General features: G+C 43.2%; 1 long non-coding RNA gene across 1 annotated transcript in view; it reads left to right on the forward strand.

Moving 5' to 3' along the window:
* Positions 1-1,744: 1,744 nt before the first annotated feature.
* The window catches only part of LOC105370018 (uncharacterized), a 30,545-nt gene continuing 17,313 nt past the window's right edge, over positions 1,745-14,976 (forward strand). The window contains exons 1-5 of the long non-coding RNA XR_945422.3: positions 1,745-1,846; positions 2,055-2,252; positions 5,106-5,202; positions 5,809-5,986; positions 6,961-7,241. This is a non-coding gene — a long non-coding RNA (uncharacterized LOC105370018). The remainder of the gene's footprint in view (positions 1,847-2,054; positions 2,253-5,105; positions 5,203-5,808; positions 5,987-6,960; positions 7,242-14,976) is intronic.

Below are 14,976 nucleotides of genomic sequence, written 5' to 3' on the forward strand. Positions count from 1 at the left end.
AATTAGAATAAGGGGACAACATATTTTAGTCCAAGAAAGCAGCCTGTGCAAAGGCCCTGGGTTAAGGGGAAACATGTTGCCATTTTGGAACTAAAGACAGTTGAGTTTCACTCAAAGACAGTGGTCAGGAGGAAGGATGGAGAAAGAAGCATCACATGGTCACGTCTTGGAGGCCACAGTAAGGAGTTTAGATGATTTCATGAGCACACAAGGATATCACTGAAAAGTTTTAAGCAGGGCGCTGATGTGGTCAGATTTAACAGATGCTTCTGCTCTAGAGAGCTTTCCCCAGGAGTGTTTTGAGCCAAGTCCTGTGAGCTTATCTCCCTTGGGCCATCCCAGGCCTGCCTTCTTGTCCATCTCCATTAGCTCCACTCCCAACCTCATCAGGCTTGTCACATCTAAGTAGGTCAGGTTAGGCAGAGATGGTTCCTGGGGACTTTATCTTCCAGTGGTCAGGCCCAGACACAGGGGATAGTAATCTGCATGGACAGCCTGGCTTCCTACACTGAACTGGGGGCACCACAGGGAAAGGCAGCCTTGACTGCTTTCCAGGGCAACTCAAACAGAATAGATTTCTCTTCCTTGTGATCCATGAGTTTCCTAAAAAAGCCTCAGCCTTTGGCAGGTAAGACTGATAAGATCTAAGGCTCGAGTTTGTTGGTTTTGCCCTGGACAGCTCTTTCTCTCTATCACTAGATCATGCTAAACACTGCAGCATGGGGCATTTGAAATGCATGCGTATGTTATTCCTGGAAAGATCCTCAGAAAATCCCCCTGTGGTCTTTGGAAGTAGGATAAATCTGGATGAGGCAGATTAGGAGAAATGAACTCAGCACATAAAGACCTGAGTTCTGTTGATCTGTCATTTACTGTGTGGTCTGGGGCATAGTAATTGTCATATCTAAGCTTTAGTTTCTTCACCTTTTAAAGGAATGGGTTAAATTTGACAACTTAGGTGAAACGTACAAATCCCTCAAAGTATACAACTTAAAATTAACAGAAAAAGAAATAGAAAATCTACATAGCCCTGCATTTAAGATATTGGATTATCCTATTAAAACCTCTCCCTGCCTTTCCTCCCCTACAACTACAGGCACATTTCATCAAATATTTAAGAACAAAATAATGCCAATATCACATAAACTCCTTTATAAAATAAAGGAGAGAATTGTTTTCAACTCATTTCATTAGGCCAACATAACTCCAATAAGAAAGCCTAATGAGGATATTAATTTTTTTTTTTTTTTTGAGATGGAGTCTCTGTCACCCAGGCTGGAGTGCAGTGGCGCGATCTCAGCTCATTGCAAGCTCCGCCTCCCGGGTTCACGCCATTCTCCTGCCTCAGCCTCCAGAGTAGCTGGGACTACAGGTTCCCGCCACCACACCCAGCTAATTTTTTGTGTTTTTAGTAAAGACAGGGTTTCACCGTGTTAGCCAGGATGGTCTCGATCTCCTGACCTCGTAATTCACCTGCCTTAGCCTCCCAAAGTGCTGGGATTACAGGCATGAGCCACTGTGCCCTGCCAAGGATATTAATTTTTTTAAAAAAAGAAACTAATAGACCAAGATCTCTCACAAACACACAAAAAATTTCTTAGCAAAATATTATCAAATAGAATTTAGCAATATATAAAAATGATCAATGAGATTAGAGCAGTGGGTAATTGCCTTTCACTCTCCCATATCAAACCCTTGACAGACATCACTAATCAATTGCTTTGGTTTTTTATTCCAGCTGAATCATTCTCTGCCTAACTCTCCAGGCAGCTACTACCAATCAATTAAAGTTGGCATGTGAGAGGATATCTATTCAACATCATTGAACCAAGTAGACCCTACCAATGTAAGGCTGAGACACTATAATTCTATTATCCTATTATGATTTTGAGTTTATTTTACAGGCAAGCATTTCCTTCAGTGTGGGATGATTTACTCCAGACCAGACATGGAAAGACCAAGAATCAGTTGTTTTGCACAATTTATATGAAGGAAGAAGCCATAAAATATTAAATGCCTATCAGGACCATAACCTTGTCTGTTCTCATTTACAGTTGTATCACCAGCCCCCAAGGATAAAGTCTGACACACAGACATCCAAGACTATGGAATAAATGAGTGAATTCTGAGGGAAGCAGACAAGTGGTTCTATCTTCATAGAGTTGTTACGGTTACTGGCATTGAGTCAAGGAAAACCAGCCACAAATGATGAAACCAGGGATTAGGGTCCAACTCAAAGGCTTCCATGTGAGGTTTGGGCATCTATATCCTGATTATTCTTATATTAATAACTTCAGCCTTGTCTCTCCTCTGAATTGCAGACACATATATCCAGCTGCCTTCTTGATATTTTCACCAGGCTGCCTCAATCACTTCTTAAGCTGGTATTTTATTATAGATTACATTGCCTTCCTACTCCCCTGCCCCTAAACCTGGTCCTTTTCCATTATTTTCTGTCTCACTGAAACTCACAACCATCCATCCATTTATACATCCATTATCCATCAGACTATCTTCTAAATTTCTGAATTTATCCATTCAGAACGTAATTAATTCTCAGATATATTCACTTTTCTCTGTCTTCCCTAGGAGCGCGCTCCTCTGAGCTCCCATCCTCCCTTCTCTGAAAGACTGAAAGTCTGCTGATAGACCTCCCTGCATCTGTTCTATCCTACTCCACGCCATTTTCCACACTGCAGCTTAAGTGATCTGTTTGAAATACAAAGTACGTCATTTCCTCAGTGCTGAAAACCTGTTGGTGGCTTCTCATTGCTCATAGGAGAAACACAAAACTCTCCAGACTGGTCTACAAAGCCCTGGGTGATCTGGTCCCTGCTGTCTTCTTAAGCTGCATCACATACTACTTACCCTTTACTTTCTGTGTGTTTATCCCACGGGACTTTTCAGACCATCTGACACAGCATACTCCTTCCCACTTCTCTGCCCAGAACTCTCTTCCCCTTCCTCTTTATCTAGTTAATTCCTACATATGCTTCAGAATTCTTATCACTTCCTTGAGAAAGACTTTCCTAACCTTCCACCTTCCCCCTTTTCCCCACAGGCTATTATAAAATCTGTTCCATTCTCCCATTTATTTTAATTTATAATGAAACACTCAGTTATGTAATTACTTGATTAATTTATTAATGTCTGTCTCTCCAAGTAGAATATAAACTCCATTTGAACAGGAATCGTGTTTATTTTAGCTCCTATTATATCCCCAGGGCCTAGCACAGTGTCTGGCATTCAACAGACATTCAATAAATCATTGATTAGTAATGAGAAAAATGAATGAATGAATGAATGAATGGAGGAACCCAGTTACTTCTTATGGTAGGTTAGGGTTTCTCAATCTCGCACTGTTGACTTTTGGGGTGAGATAATTCTTTGTTGTGGGGGACTTTCCTGTGCATCGTACAATGTTTAGCAGCATTCTTTGACTCTACCAGAGATGCATCACCCCTGATGCAACAGCAAATAATGCCTCTAGACATTCTCAAATATTTCCTTGGGGACAAAATTGAGAATTGCTGTGATAAGTTACATTCAAGGTATTTGCTTGACATGTTGGGCTCTATAGTTTTTTGTTGTCCTGTGCATTATAGAATGTTTAGCAGCATCTCTGACCTCTACCTACTAGATGCCAGAGCCCTTCTCTAGTTGATAGACTCATCTGTCAATGATAGATTCATCTATCAACTAGTGCTACTTCCTGGTGTCCCTCCCTGGGTAATAAATACACTTCCTGCCCTGCTGATGTCATTACTTGGTAACACAAGTTGCTTTGGCCAATGGAGTTTCCATAGATATTAATTTCATGCCTAGAGAAGGAATTTTAAGAGCTAACAGTGATTCTAATACTGCTGCTCTTCTTCTGACTCATGACTGAGAATGGGACTGTCCTTCATTCAGTTCTGGAATAATGAAGATATGGATATAAGACAGAGCTGAACTCCGACTCAAGGAAAACTTGCAGATGACATGTACACAGGCAACAAATAAATATCTGTGGTTGTAACCCATGGACATTTTGGAGTTGTTTGTGACCACAGCATAACTTAGTGAAAGTGGTCAACAAAGACTCATTATTGGATGGTAATTGATCCAGTTGTATTCGGTTTTTTAAGGACATATGAATGGCAAAAGAATGAGGGGAAAAAGAACCAACTAGGTTCAGACTTCAAGATATTTATTCAGGTTCTTCCTGGGGCTTTTGGAGCTTTGGACCCACCATAATTGTGGAGATAATTTGATCTCATTTCTCACATTTATATGAATCTTTTCAATAATCCCTATTATCAAACCTGAGAGTGCTCCCTTTTTTTGCAACCCCAAAGAGCACATTAAAGCAAGAATGTGAACACTATATGGATAGAGAGAGAATCTGATTTATCCACTGAGGTATCACCAGCATTAGCACACTGTCAACCAGAATAGGTAGTCACTAAATGTTTATTGAGTAATTGAATCCTCATGGAGAGATTCCCATGTGCTCTTTCTCCCTTGTAGTTAGGCTATGGCCGGTGACCCACTAGCATAAGCAACACTTCTGGTCTGAGAAAGTCAAGAGGGGGGTGAGTTCTCCATTCTCTATCTCTTCCACATGCATGGCAGGAAGTGAAGAACTTTGAGATAGCAGAGTATAGATGGAAGCATCTAGGATCCCTGTGAACCATTACAGGGGAACTGTCAAGGATAGCTGATGGCACCTATTTGCATTCTCATGAGTGAGAAATAAACTTTTGTTGTCCTAACCTAGTGGTTCTCAACTGGGAATGATTTTGCCCCCCTTCCCCACCAGGGTGCATTTGGCAATGTCTGAAGACATTTTGGTTGTCATGACTAGGGAGATGCTATTGACATCTAGTGGGTAGAGGCAGAAATGCTGCTAAAAATCCTACAATGCACAGGATAACACAGGGCTGTCTAGCCCCAAAATGTCAATAACACTGAAGTTGAGAAACCCTCTGCTAAAGCACAGAAATTTGGGGGGTTTACTGGTACTGCAGCATAGCAGACCCTTTCCTCACTAAAATGATGAATAATTGAAATATATTACACATCTTACTTCTCTGACTAACAGGATATCTGTATTTTCTCCATAGAGCTAGAACCTTCACAAAGGCAATAAAGAAATTATAAATGAATTGAATAAACCAGCTGACTCCATGAGGAGCCAATGCATTTTCTAAGTGAAAACAGGTAAGTACAAGAAACTGTAAAGCCCAAATGGTGAGAATTAATGCCATGTAACTGTTAAGAGTAGAGGTTGTCATATTATGGCTCATAGGCCAAATCAGGTCCTGCCCCCCCACATCTGTTTGTATAAATAAAGTTTTATTGGAACACAGCCCTGCACATAGTCTGTGGCTGCTCTTGCACTAAAAGAACAGAGGTGAGTAGTTTCAAAAGAGACAATATGGCCTGCAAAGCCTAAAATACTTATTGTCTCACCCTTTAAGGAAAGTTTGCCAACTCCTGTTAAGAGCATAGGTTTGAGTCCCACCTCCAACACTGACTAGTTTTGTAACCATGAGAAAGTCATGTCACCTCTCTGAGCTTTAATTTTCTCATCAGTCAAATGAAGAGAGTAATAGGACCTCCCTCATATGATTGTTTAAGGACTTCATAAGTTCAAATACTTTGCCTGGCACATAAAATATGCTTAATAAATGATAGATACTATTAATAAGTTAGTACAATAAATGACATATAATAATAATAATAAAACAAAGCCACCATGTTTGCCTCAGGTGGAAGTAGATACTTCCCAGAGGCCTGGCAGTATGTTTTCTTCCTCCATCACAGACACTCCAGCAGCCTGTAAGGAAACGTGTTTATCTTGAATGCACCTGGCAGAGACGACATGGATGGGGCTGAGCTGGTGGAAAGACCCCATTTCTCAAACCCAGCTTTCTACGTGAAATTATTCAAAAGGAAACCTTATCAAGCAGCCTTCCAGCCCAGTGTCATCCATCTTCCAGAGGTAATTCAATAGCCCTTGGTAGCAGATGATTTATGGGGTGGGTGGCCGCAGGGAGGTTACTCTTTGTATTACAGGCTGTTTTTTTTAATCAATGGCCAGCAACCCACTGGCTGGGGCCAGAAGCAACAGGCTCTTTGTTTAATCCTGTTAACCTAGGCTTCGGCTGCAGCCAGCCCCAGGCCAGCAGAGGGATGCTGGCCAGTTGGACAGAGAAGAGACTTTGATCGTTCCGAGTTGAGTCTAGCTGTTAAAATAGGACTGCTTTATCTTAATGGTAGTAGAGTTCTGTCTCTTATATAAAGCTTATTTAAGCCCTCAAACCTCCTTTGATCAGTGCTACAGTCCTGTGAGGAAGAGATTGTCTTCTTCACTTTACAGATGAGAAGCTGATGCTGAAAGGTGGTTACTTGTCTCATGCCTATATTAAGAATACCAAGTGTCAATGTCCTTTATGAGGAAGCCTAGAGCGTGAGCTGTCTCTGATGTACTGGTCTTAGCTTTTGTCTCATTGCTGAACATACCAAGGCAACCTCCATGAGGCAGGATCTTGCTCTCTCATTTATAGCTTTATTTGCAACATCTAGCATTCAGTCTGGCACATAGTAGGTGCTTAATAAATATGTTTAAAGAATAAATGGTGCCCAGATCTTTGCATATGTTGCTTTTGATTCCTGAAACACTCTTCCCATCCTGTTACTTAACTAACCACCAGTTATTTCACAGCTTAGATACCATCTTGGGTCAGTCAGTGTCTAATCTGGAAAATAGGAATTATGCCAGTTAATTTAACTGAGAGCATTTAATATAGGGAATTGGTTAAATACCTATTGGAAGATGGAAAGATAAAGAGGGAACACTAAGACAATCAATAGTAATTGTGGTGGATTTGTTATCCACTTCTGCATAACAAATCACCCCAAAACTAGCAGTTTAAAACAACAAACATTCATTATCTCATATTTTCTGTTGGTCAGGAATCTGGGCATGGCTTCAATGGATCCTCTGCCTCAGAATATCCCACAAGACAACAATTGAGGGATCAGCGGGGGCTGTCATCTCATCTGAAGTCTCAACTAGGGAAGGAGCTGCTTCCAAGCTCATTCAAGTGATCGATGGCAGAATTTGGTTCCTCATGGGCTGTTGGACTGAAGACTTTAGTTTATCACAGTATGCTGGCTGCAGTCCCCACTCAGTTCCTTGCCATAAGGGCCTCTCCATAGAGCAGCTTGGCAACAGAGCAGCTGGCTTCATCAGAGTGAGTAAGCAAAAGAGAAAACCTGTGATGGAGGCCACAGTTTTATTATTTAATCTCAGAAGTAACATCCCATTACTTGTGCTATGAGAAGTGAGTCAGTAAGTCCATCCTCCTTTCCAGGGGATGGGATTGATGGCAGTGGCAGCCTGTTTGGAGCAGCCACGGCTGAGACACCAGCTGCAGTGGGGGAGATGTGGCTGGGGCTGTGTGCTTCATGGAGCTGGCAGGAGCCAGGAACCAGCAGGAGCTCCATCCCCTTCCGAGTTGGCAGGGTGAGAGCCCTGTGCTCCTGGACGCAGCTGCAGTCTCCCAGCCATGGCTGCAGACCCGGGCATCCCTGTGCTCTCTGGGACTCAGGAAGCCCCTCTGCCCCTGTAGGCTCAGAAATGCCTGCTTCTTCTCCCTGGCCTCTCCCAGCTCCTGATGCCCACTCTGGGGTGGAGCAAAGTAGTGGCCAAGCCTGGGTGCTGTCACAACCCAGCCAGGTGTGCACATGCCTGGGGTGGTGCTGACACATCAGCCCCCTGCTGCCTCAGGCCCTTCCAGACTTTGGGTGCCGAGGAGTGCAGGAGGGAGATAGTGGGGTAGGTGGGGGGTGTTGAGGACTGCAGGCACCCCTCAGCACGGACAGCCTGGGTGCTGTGGATAGCAAATTGATGGTGGCAGGAGGCAGACAGGCTCCTGGGTGGGAAGGGGCAGATTCCTAGTGAAAGCCTCCCTTCAAGCCAGGGATGGCCTGAAACTTGGGGGCGGGGCTGCCAGTTCCGGGTGGAGTCCACGGCCGTGAGTGAAATCTTATGGTGATTCTTCTGGGTTGCCCATGGCTGCTCATGGAGCAATCAACACGCACTTCCTCCCTTCTGAGCCCATAAAACTACCCCCTCCCCCAGCCAGGTTCACACAGATGTCGGGACTTACCAGCTGTGGGAAGGAGCTGCCCACTTTGGGTCTCCTCACTGCTGGACACTCGTCGGGGAAGACCTGCCTGCAGAAAGGAGCTACCCACTTAAAGTCTCCTGAGAGCTATTTTGTCACTCAGTGAAGTTCCCCTCTACCTTGCTCACCATCCAGTTGTCCTTGTACTTCATTCTTCCTGGATGTGGAACAAGAACTCCAGACCCACCAAATGGTGGGATTGAAAGAGCTGTAACACAAACAGGGCTGAAACACGCCCCCTGCTCACCCCATTGTGGGCGGTGAGAAGGAGAGAAAAGCTGGGGCCCTTTGGGGAGCCCAGACCTAGGGGTTCCCTGAGCCAGGGCTGTGACACTCTCTTTGGGACTCTGCAGATTCTGGCATCTCCAAGCTTCTGGACACCACCACACCCCCCAGTGCCCACAGTGGAAGCCATGCGTGGTATGCCTTGTCCAGCCACAGCCTCACAGAGCTGGCACCTGTGCCAATGCCTGGAGCTACACCAATGCCTGGAGCTACCTGCCCTTCCACAGCTGGCATGCCTGGGTGTACGCAGTGGCCAGACCCTGTGTTCACTCACCCCTCGCAGTTCCACATCTGGTTCACCCTTGGCAGGCATGGGATCCAGGCTGGTAGTGTGAGCTGAGCTCAGCCTGCTGGGCCGAGTGGGCGGGACAAGCCCAGCAGGCCTGAGCAAAACTCGGGCAAAGATGCCACCAGCCACAAAGGTTTTTGGCTGGAAAAGTGACACTGCAAGGATCCTGTGACAGTATTACCCAATGGCATGAATATCAGGGGACATGTGTCACTGAGGACCATCTCAGAGGATGCCCCTCACAGGCAGAAAGAAACTAATAAATCCCATAGGGCTGGAAGAACAAAGAGGAAAGATTGTGGTTTTAGAAACTAGATGTTCAGAGAAGGGTTCCCATGGGGCTGAGACTGACTCTGAGGAGGTGGCCCTGGCCAGCTAATACTGGTAAATCTGACAGGGTACAATGAGGTTGTTTCCGGGAGTATAAGGAAAAAACACCTGGAAACAGGACATGATGGCTGTTTCTGCAGCCATCTGGCACTGACAGGAACAGGATGCAGACTTCTGTTTCCATTATGGGTTGAATTGCATCCCTCCAAATTCATATGGTGAAGCCCTAACCCACAGTATCCAAGAATGAGACATCATTGAAAATAGGGTCATTGCAGATGTAATTAGTTAAGTAAAGTGGATTCAGGTGGATTCTAGTCCAATACAACTAATGTCCTTATAAAAAAGTGGAGATTGGGACACAAACACGAACACAGAGAGAAGTTAGTGGGAATAGGAAGGCCAGAAGGTATTTCTACAAGCCAAGGAATACCAAAGATTGACAGCAAACCACCAGGAGCTAGGGGAGAGGCATGGAACAGATTCTCTCTCACAGACCTAGGAAGGAGCCAACCCTGCTGACACCTTGATCTTGGACTTCAAGCCTCCAGAACTCTAAGATGGTAAATTTCTGTTGTTTAATCCACCCAGTTTGTGATACTTTGTTATGGCAGCCCTAGCAAACTAATACAGCCTCCTCCGTCCTTGAAGTCATCTCTGGAGCCATTCATCTTACAGAATCTACCAGGGAGGCAGGCAAGGCAGGATGTCGTTGCAGCCCAGCATCGCCACACAGATCAGAGGGTGGGTGGAAGCTGAGTGTTGGTATCGATAGCTGACACTCACTTCTTTTGGGGAAGCCTTTAGTGACCTCCTCCTTCATTCAGTCTCCAACGTGTACCCTTGGTCCCCAGCACCACCTTCTGTAAGGGCACTTGCTACTCTCTTGTACTAACTGATTGTATCTTTCCCTAGACTATAAACTTCATGAGGACAGGCACTCTGTTCTTTTTTCCGCACTGTATCTCTCGCATCAAGCATGGTTTCTGGAACACAGTGGGTGGTTAGTAAATATTTGCTGAATGAATGAAGGATGGTAGAAGTAGAGAAAATGATGCCTGAAGGCAGGAAGGTTGGGTGAAATAGATTGGGACACTATCATTTTATATACATAACCTCATTTAATGCTCATAATAATTCTGCAATGCAAGTACTTTTATTCCTATTTCGCTTATGAGGAAATTAGAGATCAAAGAGATAAAATGACTTGCCCAAGACCACATAATAGCTGGCAAGAGGCAGAGCTAGGGCTTGAACCTCCTTTCTATTATCCAGCTCTCCTCCTAAATTTTAAAGCCATCATGTATTAAGGATTTATGATATGCCAGGAATTGGGTGAGATGCTATCTGCATATCCCTATCTATATCCATATTTGTATTGGCTACATTATCATTTAATCCTCATTTCATAGAGTAAGCAATGCTGATTAAGAGCTAGAAACTAAAAAGAATATTCCAGTTAAGTCCAATTCCACCGTGCAGCCATTCAGCTCAAAATCAACCAATGTCCCTCCACTAAGAGTGGATTAATAGATTGTTGATACATCTAATGATTTGTTTAATTGATGGCTTCTGCCATTATTAGAGGAGAGTTTAAAGGGGTTTTTATGAGTTTAAGACCCACATCAATTAGCCTTGGAAACAAGAGTGTAAACACAAATGTTATTTGTCCTGTTGCCAAGGAAAATAAGCACCTATACTTGTAGCCAAAGCTTTAAGAATTTAGTCAGCAAATATTTGAGCGTGTACTATGTGTTTGGCGCTGCTCTCACAGCTGTGTGGGATATAAAAGTATAAGATGCACTTCCTGTCCCCAGGGACCTTGCAATGTAGTTAAGGAAGAGAGATATGCACACATGGAATGTTAATTAACAAAGCAAGGCCATCTAGGGTAAATAGCAAATTAATGGAATGAACAATAGGAAAATGGTGCTTAGGGAATTCAGAGGAGGGAGTGTTGATGGTGATAGTAATAAAGAAATTTAGTATCATTTTATTGAGCATTTATTGTATCCCAGACACATGGCATTAAGTGCTCTATGTGTATTACCATTTTACAGCTGAGGAAACTGAGGCTTAGGGAAGTTGAATGACATGCACAAGGCCACACAGCCAGTGGGTGATGACAGGAGAGTGATCTTGGGGTATCTCACACAAGAAGGAGCTCTTAATTTCTTGACATTCTTTATATTTAAAAAATTATTTTTAATTTTTGTGGGTACATAGTAGGTGTATATATCTATGGGGTACATGAGATGCTTTGATACAGGCATACAATGTGTAATAATCACATCATGGAAAATGGGGTATCCATCCCTTCAAGCATTTATCCTTTGTGTTACAAACAATCCAAGTATACTCTTTTATTTTTAAATGTACAATTAAGTTATTATTGACTATAGTCACTCTGTTGTGCTATCAAATAGTAGATCTTATTCATTCTTTCTAACTATTTTTTTTTTTTGAGATGGAGTTTTTCTCTTGTTGCCCAGGCTGGAGTGCAGTGGCACAAGCTTGACTCACCACAACCTCTGCCTCCCAGGTTCAAGTGATTCTCCTGCCTCAGCCTCCTGAGTAGCTGGGATTACAGGCATGTACCACCACACCTGGCTAATTTTTTATTTTTAGTAGAGGTGGGGTTTCACCATGTTGGTCGGGCTGGTCTTGAACTCCTGACCTCGCGATCCACCCACCTCGGCCTCCCAACATGCTGGGGTTACAGGCGTGAGCCACCACACCCGACCCTCTATTTTTTTGTACCCATTAACCATTCATTCTATTAATACATTTTGAGAATGGGTTGTATTCTGTATGTCCACAGGCAGCAGTGACTGTGTAGGGAGGCTGGGGAAGCTCATGTAAATCTTCTTAGAGTTGATGAAATTTAAACTGGGTTTTGAAGCATGAATAAGAGTACAATAGTTGGAGAAGGAGAGAAGCCATTCCATGCAGAAGGAACAGTGTATGTAAAGCATGTAGGCTTCTTCCTTATATTTTTCCTTCTTCCTTTAGCTATATCCACCACACCCCTGTCCTTTCTTTCTTTTCTTTTTTTTTTAAGTCATCCTCACTCTCTTATGTCCCTTCCTCCAGGAAGGGTTTGGATATTTACCTTTTTACTTTGCTGGCACTAGCCTTTTTGAGGGGGAGAGAGAACCCTCTGTGATTTCCAGAGTAGACCCTGATCTCATCAATTATTTTAAGCACTTGGAAGAGAAGGATGTATGATCCCTCCTCCCACAACACATACCTATTAAAAATGCTAGGAACATGTTGTTGAGTGAACAATCCTTGGGAGAACTAAAGTGCTTATTGCCAATTTTAAAAAAAGGCATTCTGAGAGAAAACTAAAGCAGATGGAAATAAATTGAATTTTCTGCCCTAGGAGATCTTGAGCTGTGAAACCCACATAACTGACCACTGGTTTTCAGAGGGGGTGGGTGGATATGAGAAGTAAGAAGGCAGGGGGAAAGAAGAGGAGCTCACAGGAGCTCAGAAGAGCATTTGCAAGGGAGGAAAGAATCATTTTGCAGAATGAAGAGTGCAGTCCCATAGGACATCCAGGTTCTTTCCCAGAGGCCAGAGGAAACTTGTTAGGCATACCAGACATGATAACCTCTTAGAGCTTCTGTTTTTTCATCTTTGTAATGGGGTAATAGCACTGAACCCGTGAGAAAATACAAGATGAGTTGTATAAAGAGTTGTTTGGCACATAGTAGAAGTTCAAAAATATTATCTATTATTAACAATAACATTGGGTTAGAGAGTAGAGTGCAAGGTTGAGATTTTAGGTTAGGTTCTGTAGAAGAAGAATATGAGATTGAGATTCTCATGAATGTAATATATTGAGTTAAGACCCTTAGAAGAAAAGGAGAAGGGGAGGAAAAGAAGCAGGAGTGATCAGGGGAAGGAGCCAAGCAAGGGTATGGCCTCAGTTGGAAACTATGGCCTGGTCCCACAGGGAGCTCTGGAGCATGAATTGTGCAGAATTGATCCCATGTTAAAGCAAGGGGATGAGCCTTTTAAAACTCCAGGTCAGTCAGTTGTTGGATGCAGGCTGTCTTGAAGGAAGTTGTGTACCTAAAATGAGCTTTCTGGGTGAGACAGTTCCTGTTTGGCTGACAGCAACTTTCCTCTAGGGCAGATGTCAGCCTTGCAGCCAATACTCACAACATCTAGGGTATGGACGTCTTGGGCTAGTAAAGTGGATCAGATTTGGGTACACCAAAAATTGTCAGGGTGAAGGATGATGAATGGGAACTCAACAAAGTGAGCATATCACTTCTGTTCTTATGTAGTGTGAGGATGAACATCTTGATGCAGAGATTAAGGGAAGACCCATGCTGATATCACCCAGGAGATTTCCAGCTAAGTCCTCATAAGGATCTCAAGAACTTCCAGCTTTCCATCAGGACCTATCTTATAGTATGCTGTTGTTTAAAGATGAACACTGTTAAAGATGAACACTTCTGATCTGTGACTTTTGAGATTCAATTGACTTCTCAGGGGCAGAAATGATGTCTTATCTTTCTTTGCATCATACATGTTGCCAAGCATGGTGACTTTTATGGACAGTTGGTGCTCAGCAAGTGTTGGCTGATTGAAGATCATCTTCCCCAGGTATTCTCAGGAATCCCAAGCTGTTGATTTTCTGGAGTAAATAGAGAAAACACTTTCAGTTATGAATGTCTAGGCTTCTTGGTTTGGCATTTGAGGTCCTCCCCTTTCACTTCACCCTCATGTTCTGGTCTCCAGAGTTATTTCCGAAGACCCTCTCGCCCACCTTTACAAGCCTTATGTTAATATTCGATGCTTTCAACCTTTTTATCATACTGTAGTATCATCATTTACTGTATTCCATACACATGGTATTCAGTGCTTTATGTGCATTACCATTTTACAGATGAGGAAACTGAGGCTTAGAGAAGTTGAGTGACTTGCACAAGGTCACACGGCCAGTGAGTGATGAAGGGAGAATTTGATCTTGGGTTATTTCACACAAGAAAGAGCTTTTAACTTCTTGCCATTCTCTATATTTTTTTAAAAAAATATTTTTAATTTTTGTGAGTACATAGTAGGTGTATACATCATACCTAGTTGTTCAGGCTAAAATCCTAGGAATGATTTTTGATTCCTGTCTTTCTCTGATTACGTCAAATACACTGGCAAGTCTGGTTTATTTTACTTTCAATTATGCCCGAATCTGCCCACTTTCTGTCCTTTTCTTTGCTATCATCCCAGCCTGTCTCTCCCCTATCCCTCACCCAGATTACAAGAACCTTCTCAGTGGTGTCCCTGGTCCAAATCTTGCTCAGAAAAGCAGGTTGTGTTGAGTACAGTGCCTGGCATATAGTGGGTTCTCAATGAATTCTTGCTGAATGGATAGGGAATGAGCATAAGGATCTCTTTTTGACATTAAAAAAACATGGATTTTTAAAATAGCAGGTATCTGAATAAATTTTGTTCAAGGAGCCATTTGTTGACCAAATATATCTACGCATTCAGTAACTCTTTCAAAGGGATGAACATACAGACATTGGCAAGTAATTGTACTGGGGATGAGACATTAACAGATGCCTTGCAATACCTCTGCAGCCCTCTAGGAGGCGGTGGCTTGCCGGTTAGATACCACTGCTCTGGTTAAACAAGGTCTTTGCTATTCCTGCAGCATGATTCATTCTGGGATTCTCTTGCCATCCTTGTGCCTTTGTTCTGGCTGTGTCCTCCACCTGGAATGCCCTTTCGAATTCACCTCAAACGCAATGTATACAAAGCTCATCCATCTTTAAAGTCTCAACCCAAATGTCAACTCTTTTGAAGCCTTTTCTGATTTCACCCAAGTGAGAAGAGATATCGCCCTCCTTGCTAAGCCTCCATAGAGCTTTATCTATACTG

This window comes from Homo sapiens, chromosome 12 (genome assembly GCF_000001405.40).
Source record: "Homo sapiens chromosome 12, GRCh38.p14 Primary Assembly".
Taxonomy (NCBI): Eukaryota; Metazoa; Chordata; class Mammalia; order Primates; family Hominidae; genus Homo; species Homo sapiens.